General features: G+C 43.8%; 1 protein-coding gene across 79 annotated transcripts in view, besides 3 other annotated features; it reads left to right on the top strand.

Moving 5' to 3' along the window:
- Positions 1–13,065, top strand: part of SORBS1 (sorbin and SH3 domain containing 1) — a 249,599-nt gene that overhangs the window by 227,127 nt on the left and 9,407 nt on the right. For 69 of the 79 annotated variants that reach the window (NM_001384455.1, NM_006434.4, NM_001034957.3 and 66 more), the window contains one exon: positions 12,224–12,282. In NM_001384455.1, coding sequence (NP_001371384.1) covers positions 12,224–12,282 — 59 coding nt within the window. Of the gene's footprint in view, positions 1–11,439; positions 11,500–12,091; positions 12,283–13,065 lie in introns of all 79 variants that reach the window. The other 10 variants (NM_001419704.1, NM_001290294.2, NM_001419702.1 and 7 more) reach the window with 2 other exon arrangements.
- Positions 9,238–9,739: an enhancer, noted in NCBI's record as "NANOG hESC enhancer chr10:97084263-97084764 (GRCh37/hg19 assembly coordinates)". NCBI's record gives its function as "activates a minimal SCP1, AML or CMV promoter by ChIP-STARR-seq in naive H9 embryonic stem cells {active_cell/tissue: H9 hESC(naive)}" and the evidence as "EXISTENCE:reporter gene assay evidence [ECO:0000049][PMID:30033119]".
- Positions 9,238–9,793: a biological region, named in NCBI's record as "Sharpr-MPRA regulatory region 12220".
- Positions 9,499–9,793: an enhancer, noted in NCBI's record as "tiled region #12220; HepG2 Activating non-DNase unmatched - State 16:ElonW, and K562 Activating DNase matched - State 5:Enh". NCBI's record gives its function as "activates a minimal TATA promoter and a strong SV40 promoter by Sharpr-MPRA in HepG2 and K562 cells {active_cell/tissue: HepG2 | K562}" and the evidence as "EXISTENCE:reporter gene assay evidence [ECO:0000049][PMID:27701403]".

Genomic DNA, 13,065 nt, shown 5'->3' with positions numbered 1-13,065 from the left:
GCTAAAAATGGGAAGGACTTGTATGACAACTGTTCTCTGGCAGCCCCATCAGGATGACGTGACCACAGGCTGTGTTGCTTATTTGGAAAAATGCATTCCAGACCAGTTTGTGTATCAAGAAAATTGTCAGCCATTATTCTCCTTGCTGAACTAAAGAGCTGAAACAAAAGTTCACTTTTATTGTAGGTATTGGGGAGGTAGGTTGAGAATCTGACCAATAATGGGAGGGAATTTTACCTGAGAACCTTAAATGAAAAGATATTCTGAAATGTTATGATCATTTATTCTTTGAAGCATTTAGGATATTCCAGGTACTTAGCTGCAAGAGATAGAGAGGGGTGAACATCATCAGGGCTTCCATTTAGATGTAACTTCTAGGAAGCTGTTGGGGCCAAGGGAAAGTTTCCCTCTTATCCTTGAAGTTTCCCTAAAAATTACTGACAAGAAGCAAAAATTTTTTTCTTTCTTTTTTTTTTTTTGAGACAGGGTCTCACTCTGTCACCCAGGCTGGAGTGCAGTGGCACAATCTCATTGCAACCTCTGCCCCCAGGTTCAAGACTCCTTCAACCTCAGCCTCCTCAAGTAGCTGGGACTACAGGCACATGCCACCATGCCCAGGTAATTTTTGTATTGTTTGGTAGAGACGGGGTTTCACCATGTTGGCCAGGCTGGTCTCATACTCCTGACCTCAGGTGATCCTCCCGCCTCGGCCTCCTCGGATTACAGGCATGAGCCACCACGCCCGGCCAAGAAGCAAATTAATAGGAGAAAAGGCATACAGATTTATTCGATCATAGTTTTATGTGACACGGGAGCCTTCAGAATGAAGACCCAACCAATGGGGTGCAGAAGCTTATACCATCTTGAGGTTACAGAAGAGTGGGGGCTCAGAGGATGGCCAAAGACAGGTTATGGTGGTAAATCAGATTTTAAGCAGCAAGACACGTTATGGGAGGGAGAAAAGCAAGGCTTGGCTAGCAAAGGGGTCTTGTTATTTAGATGAAAGCTCACAGGTAGCAGCCTCGGAGAGAATAGATGGTAAATGTTCCTTTTAGGCCTTTAAAGGTGTCAGACTGCCAGTTAATCTTTTCTAGATCTAGACAAGGGAAAGCCTCAGAGAAAACCTGGCTGCATCAATGCAGATTTTTCTCTACAAATACAAATCTCCTGCACAAAAGACAGCTTTGCAGAGCTACCTCTTTTTGCTGGCTCTCTGACAGCCATGTCAAAATATGTCAAAAAAATATATTTTGGGGTAAAATATTCTGATTTCCTTTAACACCTTTCCTGACAGCCTCCCCCACCCCTGCATGAGTGGATTAGTGCTCTGACTTTGGGCTGCCATAGCCCCTGCAATGGTCTGTGTGAGCCTCTCTCAGCCCCCTTTGCTTCCCTGTGTTCCCATACAGTATCAGTGCTCCAAAGGCGGGACCGTGATACCTAATGTATGGAAGGCACTTCAGTGAATGTTTGTTGAATGAAAGAAAAGGCAAGCCAGACATGGTGGCTTACACCTGTAATCCCAGCACTTTGGGAGCCTGAGGCAGGCGGATCACTTGAGGTCAGGAGTTCAAGACCAGCCAGCATGACGAAACCCCATCTCTTCTAAAAATACAAAAATCTCTTCTAAAAAAATACAAAAATCAGCTGAGTGTGGTGGTGCATGCCTGTAATCCTAGCTACTTGGTAGGCTGAGGTGGGAGAATCACTTGAACCCAGGAAGCGGAGGTTGCAGTGAGCAGAGATAGGGCCACTGCACTCCAGCCTGGGTGACAGAGCAAGACCCCATCTCAAAAAAAAAAAAAAGACAAACAATGACTGACTCCAACTAAAGGAGTTTAGGATCTTCACCGGGGGAGTAAGACCTGTTCCCAAATAGTTACAATGCAAATAAGGAAAGAGAGTCACAAACAGTACATCCTGGAAGATCAAGATGGGGAGAAATAATAACCGGGAAGGAAGGTGGTTGTCTGGAGACTTCAGGAAAAAAAAATGCCAGGCAGGGTGTCAGAGCCCCAGTATGAGGAGGTGGTTGACTTGAGTGTTGGTAAGAAAAATTGACTGATAACAGTATAGATTTGAAGAAGGCAAGTTTATTAGAAAGAAAGAACGCTGCAAAAGGGTGCAGCAGGGCACTCAGTGAGAGAGGACTGAGCGCACTGAGGTGGATTTTCCTTAGGAGCATTTATGGACCTTAAGGCAGAAGCTTAAGGGCAATTTGGACCATACTGGCCACATAGGTCATGATACATGATTACATCTGTAGATGTTTTGGTGCCTTAACGTCAGCAAGGGTTGCACAGTGAGTTTCAGCATGCCATTCCAGAGATGTGTAGAAATTCTAGTTACTTATAAATTTGGAGGGAAAGAAATCTGGGACCAGATGCCTGCTTTAAATGATAGGGAAGTCTAATTACTTCTAATTTTCCCAGATAAGGAATTTGGCCTGTTTGATGGTCACCAGGTGGTCATTGCTCCCTTCTAAATTCCTCAGATAAGGAGTTTTTGCCTCTGGGGCTTGCTGGATGGTCACCAAGTGATTTTGCTCTCCTCAAAAAAGTAGCATTTAATCTGAGCCTTAAAGAATAAGAGGTTTTCTCACAGATGTACAGCAGGAGGGTGGGACTCGAGGCAAATAGCTCAAGCAAAGGCCCAGAGGTAGGACCATGAAAGGTGTGCATAGAGAATGATGCATTCCTTGTTTGGGTGAGGCTTCTGGTGTCCACAGGTGAATAGAAAAGGGGGTTTCTGGAGAAGGGGCTGGGACCAGAAGTTATGTCAGGAGTCACGGTGACCCTTTGAATCAGTCACCTGCCCACCTCCCTCAACTCTGCAGATGTGTGGACACTTCCTGTGAAATGGTTTGACTTTTCACTCCTAAACTGTTTCACATTGGGTCAGTTGCCCATGTTTTTAGGTGTGTTTTTTCTCTGAACAGCAGAAGAGAGTGAATGAAATGAATGCAGGGGTCTTCAGGGAAATCAGGATGGGGTGGGGAAGAGCACTGGATTGAGAGTCAGGGTCCCAAGTTCTAGCTCTAGCTCTGCCATTGGCTTGCCAAGTATCTTTTGTTGAGTCACTTCTCTTTCCTGGCAGCTACTCTGTCCGTAAACAAAAGATTCAGACAAGAGAAATGCCATTCTTTTTAGCTTTGATATCCTTTGATTAGGTAAAAATCCTGCATGAATTTTAGTTTAAATGAGAAAGAAGAACACATACAAAAATTTAAGTCAGGGGTTTATTGTCAACTTACAGACCTTCACAATGGAAAAATAGAAGTTTTGCCTTTTAGTTTTTGTTCTGAGGGACAACTTAACTTATTGGATGAAAAATGTGCGTACAAAATGCCCAAGCAGTCAGAATTATCAACCAAGTTCTTGGATTTTCTTGGGCGCAATTTTGGCCAACAACATTTAGAACAATCAAGAAAGTAGGCTGGGGCGTGGTGGCTCACACCTGTAATCCCAGCACTTTGGGAGGCCGAGGCGGGCAGATCACTTGAAGCCAGGAGTTTAAGACCAGCCTGGCCAACATGGCGAAACCCTGTCTCTACTAAAAATAGAAAAATTAGCCGGGCGTGGTGGTAGACATCTGTAATCCCAGCTACTCGGGAGGCTGAGGCATGAGAATTGCTTGAACCCAGGAGGTGGAGGTTGCAGTGAGCTGAGATCATGCCACTGCACTCCAGCCTGGGTGACACAGCAAGACTCTATTTCAAAAAAATTTTAAAAAGTAAACAAAAAAAAAGGAAAGTAAGGGGGACAGGTCTGATGGTAGTGAGTTATCTCAATTCATTGTTCACAGTCAGTTACAGATCAAACTGGTTGTTCCACTAAAAAAAAGAAAAAGAAAGCAAAGGGAAGATCATCTTGAAAAATCCCATCGTTTGCATGATCAAATATTTACTGAGTTTCTCTGTGACAGAAGCACTATTTGTTGACTGGCATCTAGCCTTGGTTTTTAAGTGTTTTTACAAATTGTGAGAGTACTTCCTAGAATTTTTGAATTAAAGAGAATATTTAGAGACCATCTACTCCAGTAACTGACAACTTTTTCTGGATCACAGAACCTTTGAGAATCTGAGGTCAGCCAAGGACTCTAGGCCAGTAGTTTGGGGAGGAGAGTGACACACAGTTTTGCATCATTTCAAAAGGCCCACACCCAAGTCTACCTGTGACAGATCACCAGGTTAAGAGCCTCCAGTCTTTTACAATGAGATGAGGAAACCAAGGCCTGAGGAAAGTGACAGAAATTTTGTGATGTCAGTTTGGTTCCTAAAGGGAAGGAAGCTAATCAAATAAAATCTCAATATACTGGAAAGCTATGTGTCCTTAAAGCATCTGTCTGAGAAGCATAAGAACAAACTATAGGCTTAGAGAAAGGAGAAGGAGGGAAAGTGACTCAACTTGAGACAGAAAGATGTGACTTCAGAGGGAACACTTCTCAACACAAGGAAACTAAATTAGTTCCCAGAAAGATAAGAACAGAGGCATAGGCCTGCCTTGAGGATGGAAATCAGAAATAGAAAAGGAAGCTGTGATGGAACCTGCAAGAAAAAAAGAAATTTTAAATGTTAAGATACTCAAGTAAATATAGGAAACATTTTCCTTTGACTCACTCAGAAGGGAAATCTCTAAATAGAGGGCGTTTAACAGCTTACGGGATGGGGAGAGACGTTGGCTGCGGTACTTACAAAAATAAGCAGCAGGTATTCTCTCATCACTAACGGTAGGGAACTGGCCAGGCACGGTGACTCACACCTGTAATCCTAACACTTTCAGAGGCCAGCACAGGAGGATGTCTTGAGCTCAGGAGTTTGAGACCAGCCTGGGCAGCACAGGGAGACTACGTCTCTACAAAAAAACATTAGCCAAGTGTGGTGGCGAGTGCCTGTGGTTCCAGCTACTTGGGAAGCTGAGATGGGAAGAGCGCTTGGGTCTGGGAGGTCAAGGCTACAGTGAGCCATGATCACACCACTGCACTCTAGTCTGGACAATAGAAAAAAAAAAGGGTAAGGGACTAAGACCCAAAGCTAAAGTGTCTACCCTTATAAAGGTGTTAGGAGAATGGAGCATGTCAGTAGGAAGTGCCAGCCACAGGGTACTGGACAAATTAAGGTGACCTGTTGGTGAGCATCTCTCTCTAGCTCTTCTGATATCTTCCTCTGGCAGAGCACAAACCTAGAAGTTTGGGGTGTGGTGGAATGTGCAGAACTTGGAGTCTGAGAGACAGATGTTCCAATACTAACTGTTCACATTCCCAATTCACACACGGCAGGTCTTCGTTTTCTCATTTGTAAAATGAGGTCAATGTTGACCACCTTCTTGAGTTGCTATGAGAATTAAATGAAATATAATAGAGATGAAAGCAGCTAGCGCAGCCTGTAACGGGACCATAAATACCTGTTGTGTGATGTCGAGGTACCAGGGAAATGAAACAAAAGTAGTTTACTTTATCCACCTTACCCTGTTCCACCTAAGAGAGAAAAATGGTGGGTGGGGAGGATGGGAAGAGAAGAAAATAGAGAATGATGGGAAAATCATTTTACTTTGGGTTACACAAATCGAGAATTTAGAAAATCTGGAATTTGTGCTCCCCAAATTAGTTTATTCTACCTTCAGTATAAAGGCATAAGCTATTCTTGGAAAGCCTTTGGTTTCTTCACACTTGAATATGTATCTGCCATTACCCCCCAACTGTCTTATGAAAGGAAGAGAAGACTGTATGATAGTCTATGAAGAGAAGGCTGAGCATTGGTTGAGTATTTACTGAGCATTTAAGTTTAGTGTTGTAATCAGATTCAAATTACAACAAAGTTAATGTGTTGTCTAGTGAGTGACTTGCAAGGAGATAAAATCTAGATGGTAAGCAATTGAACTAGTTGTTTGTAATTAGTTTTATATTTAAGCTGTGATCTTTTTCTCAGTAAACTCAATAAGATAACTCAGTGGAGTCAGAGACTGTTTTGAGGGTGCTCTGGTGGTTTCCTGGAGCTCAAACCCAGGAGACTGACTCATTCGGGCCTTTCTACTCCTCTGGAAGAGTTTGCCCATGATGTTCCAGTAGGTGCAAATCTATCACTATTTTGGGGCAGTCGCTTGGGATACTTCCAGAAGTGAGCACTCCATCCATATCTGGAGGCTGCAGTCGAAAGCCTTCCTCCTCCCAGTCTTCAGTAAGCAATGAGTAGAGTGCTGCCTCCCTTAAGCCAAGTCAGCCCCTACCCAGTCCTACTTCTTAACCCATGGGACAGGCACATTGCAATCATAGAGCATTAAAGCCAAAAAGACATTTATGTAAATTATGTCCAATCCTCTTATGTATTTTAGAACTTGAAGTCCTAAGACGTTAAGCATTTTGTTCACAAGACAATCAGTTAGTACAGAGCATGGCCTGGAACCTGGATTTTCTCACTGTCCCGCTGGGAGGTCAGGGTAGGTCACCAGAAAGGTGGGGTGGGGTCTGAGAAGACTTGGGATGTGAGATGACTAGAGGAGTGCCATCTCTGTGAGACTCAGGCAGGTTAGGGGAGCAGCAGAGCCTCGTGCTGTTTCTAGAGGGGATTTGGGGCCAGGGAGAAGTAGAGTTTCTCTGTCCTGTCCACATCTTCAGGACTTCCTGCTGTTCTGTAGCCTGTGTGCAATCTATTTGGGCCCACAAGGCTTTGGCACACACCCAAAGCTGGAAGCGGATGCTTAGTAACTCCACAGTAGCGCCAGGTGTTCTGTGGATCCAGAGGGATTAACAGCTCCAGGGAGGCTAAGATCTGATTTCTGGGGGATTTCTGTGAACTGAAAGTAGAAGGGCAACAGCAAGGACGCATGCAGGGTCACCCACTTGAGGAGAATGAAGCAAGCTCCAGGCCAGGAGAGGCGACTTGTGTACAAATACAGAAGAAAGCACTTTCTGGATCAAGGACTGTCACCTGCTTCCTATTAATGGGGGAAAGGAGGGGAGTGCAGTGTGTGTGTGTGTGTGTATGTGTGTATGCATGCGCTGGGCTGGTTGTTTTTGTAAACACGTGAAAAACTGGAATGCCGTCACCAGAGTTGGAAATGTCCTTAGCATTTTTTTTTTAGTCTTAACTTTATTCTTTTTTATTCTTAACACTAGATGAAGTCCTTGTTAGAACTTGTATCTTCTCTTAGGCTTAAATAAGGGCAGATGCTGAGTACCTGGGGAGGGCTCAGAGAGGCATTGTCTAGTAGAAATATAATGTAAGCCACATGTGTGATTTTAAAATGTTCTAGTACACACAGTAAAATGGAACAACTGAAATTTTAATAATATATTGTAACCCAGTATATCTAAAAATTATTACTGAGATTTTACATTCTTTATTTTGTACTAAGTTTTTGAAATCCAGTGTATATTTTTACACATAACACATTTCACTTCATACTTGCCACATCTCAAGTGTCCAACAGCCACCTGTGGCTGCTGGCTACAATCTTGGACAGGATAGGTCCAGAAGAAGCACTGTACAAAGCTGTAAAGTGGTTAGAAAATGGGGACAGGAAAAGAAAACATAACTAGAGGGGAAAAAAAACCTGAGGATAAACAGCCTTCAAAATGAAGGGCTAATTCTTGTGATAGATAGTAATGGTTTCCATTTCCACTGAGGGTGTACCCCCATGCCATGTCTCCGTCCCCTGAAAAAAACTGGTTTACATTTCAGTTATATGAGCTATTTCACTTAAATCTAAACAGAGAGAAATTGAGTCTTAACTAATAGAATAAATGTTTATCTTGCCTTCTTCCTTCATTTATTCAACAAACGCTAAGTGAGGCACCCAGTCATCCCTACCTCTCAGGAATGGGGTTAAGTTTGTACTATACAGATGTTAAAGCTATGATGATGATTATCCTTAGCTTTGGGCATGGCCTGAGACCAAGGAAGGTACAAGGTGGACCATCAATGTCCCTTCCGGTACTATAGTTCACAATTAATGATTGGACGCTATTACCGTACACCGTATCTTTTACATAAGGAAATGTCTTTGAACACCTAGAGTAAAAAGTATTCAAGAAGAGAAATGATAGATAGTGCCTGTTTTCAGACAAGGCAGAAATTGGGTGTTGCTGTCATAGTTACACAAGCAATCTAATCATGATCCAAGAGGGAGGTGGCAGGTAGTATATGGAGATTAGATGTCAAAGGGCTCAGCTTTCACACTACCTTGTACAAACTTCACAAGGTCAGGTCCCAGCCACCTGGCAAAGGCCCAACATCCTGAGACATTGTAGAAGAAGCATGAAATGGCCTCTTTCGTTTTGTCTCTTCCTTTACCCCTGTCAGAGTCCGAGGTGACTGATTTGAGTGATTGCAGTTTAGAAGGGGTTTGGAGAACTTGAAGATGCTTCCCAAAAGGACAAGAGTATAGAAGTGGGGTCGGGCACAGTGGCTCACGCCTGTAATCCCAGCACTTTGGGAGGCCAAGGTGGGCAGATCATTTGAGGTCAGGAGTTTGAAACCAGCCTGACCAACATGGTGAAACCCCATCTCTACTAAAAGTACAAAAAAAAAAAGCTGGACATGGTGGCCCACGCCTGTAATCCCAGCTACTTGGGAGGCTGAGGCAGGAGAATTGCTTGAACCTGGGAAACAGAGGTTGCAGTGAGCCCAGATTGCGCCTGGGCAACAGAGCAAGACTCCGTCTCAAAAAAAAAAAAAAAAAAAGAAAAAAAAAGAAGTAGTGCCTGGGATGGAACTCCTCTGAGCCTTAAATTCCTTATTCTGCACTCCTCAAGTCAGAGGGTTAGTACAAAAGTCAGATATGTAATGGATCTATATATGCTTGTAAAATATCAGGTTCTTCTTACTATATTTGATTCACTGATCCTCTTTTCAGCACCAAATTGTTTGCTAGATAATTGATTCCAGTCACTCCTTTGGGATGAATGAAGTTGAGTGGAAGGAGGCTAGGTTTCTGTAAACTATGGAGATCTTGCCAAGAGATTGTCTACATCCTCTCTTTATACCGCATTTGACCTGAGGTCATGAGGCCACCAGCTGGAATTTGGAAATATTTTGTTTTTTATGAGAACTTTTGTTTTCATGAGGTGTGACCCAGACCACCGGTCTTGGCATACTATAGCCAAAGAATCTCAGTGTAGGGCAGTTGAGGTCCTCTGCACCCTTGCCGCCTACAGTTGGTCTGTGAACCAGCAGTGTCAGCACTACCAAGTAGAAATGCAGAATTTCACAATACAGCCCAGGTGTATCAAGTCAGAGTCCACATTTTAACAGGATCCCAAATAATAGCTATATACATTAAAGTCTAAGAAGGATGGCTCTACAATATCCCAGTTAGTCATAGTCCACAGCAGCCTCAGCTTAAACAGCTGCCAAGGCAGCCAACTCATTTCCACTTGAGGCAGCCCCTTGTATTGTTGGATTGTTTGGAAGTTCTCCCTTCTGTCATGTTAAAATCTGCATGTCATTGTCACCCACTCAAGGTGACATTTCAGACGTTTCATTCTTCTGAAAGCCCACATAGAAGGTACTTGGAAATGTCCATTTCTTTCCTTTGTGATACGGACACCTTAATCCAGAGGCAGTGAGTGGAGGGTGGGTGGTGTTGGAGCCATACAAGGTCGGCTCCCAGTCACCCGGCAAAGACCTAACGTCCAGAGTCATTGTAGAAGAAGCATGACGTGGCTCATTTAGTTCCGCCTCTTCTTTTACTCCTGTCAGAGTGCAAGGTGACTGGTTTGAGTGGTTGCAGTTTAGAAGGTTTTTGGAGAACTTGAGGAGGCTTCCCAAAAGGACAGGGGTATTGAAATGATGCCTGCAACGGAAGTTAGTCCTGCAGGGCTTGCTAACGGTTGAGGACATTTCCAGGGGAGGTGAACAGGAGAGGGTGGTCTGGTGGAGCGGAAAGAGCAGCTGAGCCACTTTACCTCTTACTGGCTGTGTGATGTTGAGGAATGCATGAAACCCCTCTGAGCATCAGCTTCCTGGGTTTTTTAAGAAAACAATGATAAACCCTGTCCTGCCTGACTCCAGGGTTTCTGAGGGAGTCACTGAAGATGAGGTCAGTGAGCACACTTGATAAGGCAGAAGATGGTCTGAGGATAAAAGACAAGGTCAGTTGGGACAATAGATGAAGCCAGGAGAAAAGCCTACCACTGACTTGATGTGTGACCTCAGGGGAGGCTCCCACTTTTTCTATGTCTCTCTGTGAAACAAGTGGGTCATGCACAAAAGATTTCTAAGCGCCCATCTAGAAGGCCCTGGAGTTGTGGCCTATTGCTTTATTTTTTTATTTTTGAGACAGGGTCTTGCTTTGTCACCCAGGCTGGAGTGCAGCGGTGCAATCATGCTCACTGTGGCCTGAATCTCCCGGGCTCAGTTGATCCCAAGTAGCTGGGACTGCAGGTGTATGCTGCCACATCCAGCTAATTTTTGTATTTTTTTGTAGAGATGGGGTTTTGCTTTGTTGCCCAGGCTGGTCTCCAACTCCCCGGCTCAAGCAGTCCTCCTGCCTTGGCCTCCCAAAGTGCTGGGATTACAGGCATGAGCCACCATGCCTGGCCAGCCTGCTGCTATTATTGCATGTTACCTGGAGGATTTTTTCAAGGATGGCTCTTCAGGGTATTTATTTAGAAAAACTTCCTAGAGCTTGGAATTGAGTCCTGTCTGGGGGACATGGTTCCAAACACTCTCCAAGTGAAGGCTGGCCTCTACAATGGAAGCCCCACTCAAAAGGCAGGTTTGCTTGGCCATGTTTGCACCTGTGTTTCTATGTTAGCATGTGGTACCTGGGTTGGTAAGTGAAGAGTGACAGTTTCGTCACACACAGTCCTATTTCTGGAAGCAAGCTCTGTCCTACAAGCTATCTGAATTCATCTCATACCTCACTGGAGTGTGTCATTTGCAGATTTTTCCAGGGGAATGGTCTTGGTTGGTACTTCATATATTACCAAGGAAGTTTTCAAAAATGTTATTCCCTTTTTCAGTTTTTATAAGTTTCTGAAATACAGCAGACTTGATGGTTCTATGGGCCTGCTCTGCTAGAGGGGGCTTCCAGTCAACAAAATAACCAAAACTGGCTTTGGGTTCAGCCACCTTCCCTAGATGCTTACTAGCTGAGCGTGAGGGGACCAATATGTGTGAAGGGACCTGGCTAAGATGGCCTTTCTGAGTCTCTCTCCTGCCAATCTGGGGACCCTGTGTTGTTCATCCTCACCTCACTGCAGCCATGTTTCCAATTTCCCATTTCATTTCCTGGATGCTTGCTTCTAACTCTACATTTGCATTTTCTTCTGTGCACCCACCCTGTTGTTGTGGAGACTTGGTGGCCATAGGCCGCCGGTATCTGGTGTCATCCAAGCGTGATGGTGTGGTACGTGGATTTGCTCATGCTTTTATTTTGAATCCTTTCCAATGTGACATCTGCTAAAATGTCTCCCTTATAATTTGCTTGGTGATCACAGCTTTCTCATCATTCATTGAGAGCAGGACCAGATCTCACAGAATCTGAAAAGAGCTATGTGGTAAGATGCCTGTTGAATAAGACTGCAGCTTTTCTAAAGAGAATTTTTACTGATCCTTACTTCTGGAATCTAGACTAGAGTGATGCCTGGTTAACCCACAGAAATATTATTTATAAGAATTCTGTGGCTATTGTAGTAGAGCGAGATGTTAGGCCACTGCATTACCCCCAGCCCCTGGAAAAAAGCAGAGGAATTTAGAGACGATATTTCTACTCTGCCTATATGTGGGATTAAATTAATGTATTAGTGCATGATTGGGGATACATACTTGCATTTCTACCCTAAAGTATTCCATTTGTGACAGTTACTCACTAATTTCAGGCTTTTATGCTGCTGCCTTTTTTTTTTTAATATTCTTACTAAATTCCAAATTCTTCTGTATCTTACCTGTTTTTCCATGCTTACGCCTGGATCCCTCCTGCACTCCACTACTGGAATATCTATTTTTTTAACCTGGATCTTCAACTCTGTTTTCTCCCTGGACTTATGTGCTTCGTCTGGAATGTTACATCTCTTCCTCTCTTTCTTTTTTTTTTGTCCCCATGTTGACTGTTTTATTGGGGTTTCTGGATATCTCGGGGCCACCTCACAGGAAGCGGTTTGCAATGAGATCATAAACATTGCCGAAAAATCTGTTCATTACTGCAGCACTGTTTCTCATCCCCTTGACTTTCATCACAAGGTATCCCCTTCTGACAATAAATCATCTTTAATCATTTCTCAGCAACCTCAAGCCCAGCAGCGAAGAGTCACCCCCGACAGGAGTCAAACCTCACAAGATTTGTAAGTACTCCTGGTGAACTTCGATTCTCATGTTCTCAGAGGACTGTTGGTCTTAGAAAGTGGGTCGCTGGCTGAATATGGGGCAGTCATTTGCAGGAATGAGTGAATTACACCCAGGTTCTCTCCTGAGGATTTCTAGTGAAGGCCATGTTCTGCATCAGCCAAGGTGAAAACAGGTGGCAGGTAAATAAAGGCCGTCATAGACTGCTGGGAGAGAGAGACAGGTAAAGATTAACTGCTGTAGAATGTCAAATGAGAGCTGTGCTGACTGGTTTCAGTGCTAGTATAGTGGGAATATAGAGGAAGGAATGGTTAATTCTGACCAGCCGTGAATGAAAGGGTTGCTTCATTCATTCATTCATAAAAAATTATTGGATATCTCCTATGTTTTAAGCACATAGGAGAAAACTCTGTGCACAGAGAAAGAGAGATTTGGACCAAACACTGAAAGACAAATTAGATTCTGAGAGCTAGAAAAGGGAGGAAAATATCTTCCCAGAGGTGAGGACCACATGTGCAAAGGCATAGAGTGGGTGGTATTTGGAGAACTTGAAAGGGCCCGTGTAGCTGCAGCATATGGTTCATGGAAGAGATAGAGATGAAGCTTAGAGGTGGGATGGGACCAGATGGTAGATTCCAGAATGCAGTTGAAGTAAGTTTGGATTTTATTCTGCAGGTACTAGGGAGCCATTGAAGGTTTTTGAAGTAAGGAACATATTGATCATATTTTGTTTTAGGGAGATAACTCTGGCAACAGAGTGGAGGGTAGATTTCATAGATCAG

This window comes from Homo sapiens, chromosome 10 (genome assembly GCF_000001405.40).
Source record: "Homo sapiens chromosome 10, GRCh38.p14 Primary Assembly".
Classification (NCBI taxonomy): Eukaryota; Metazoa; Chordata; class Mammalia; order Primates; family Hominidae; genus Homo; species Homo sapiens.
Note: the sequence above shows the minus strand (reverse complement) of the source record. Positions and strands in the feature narration are given on the sequence as shown.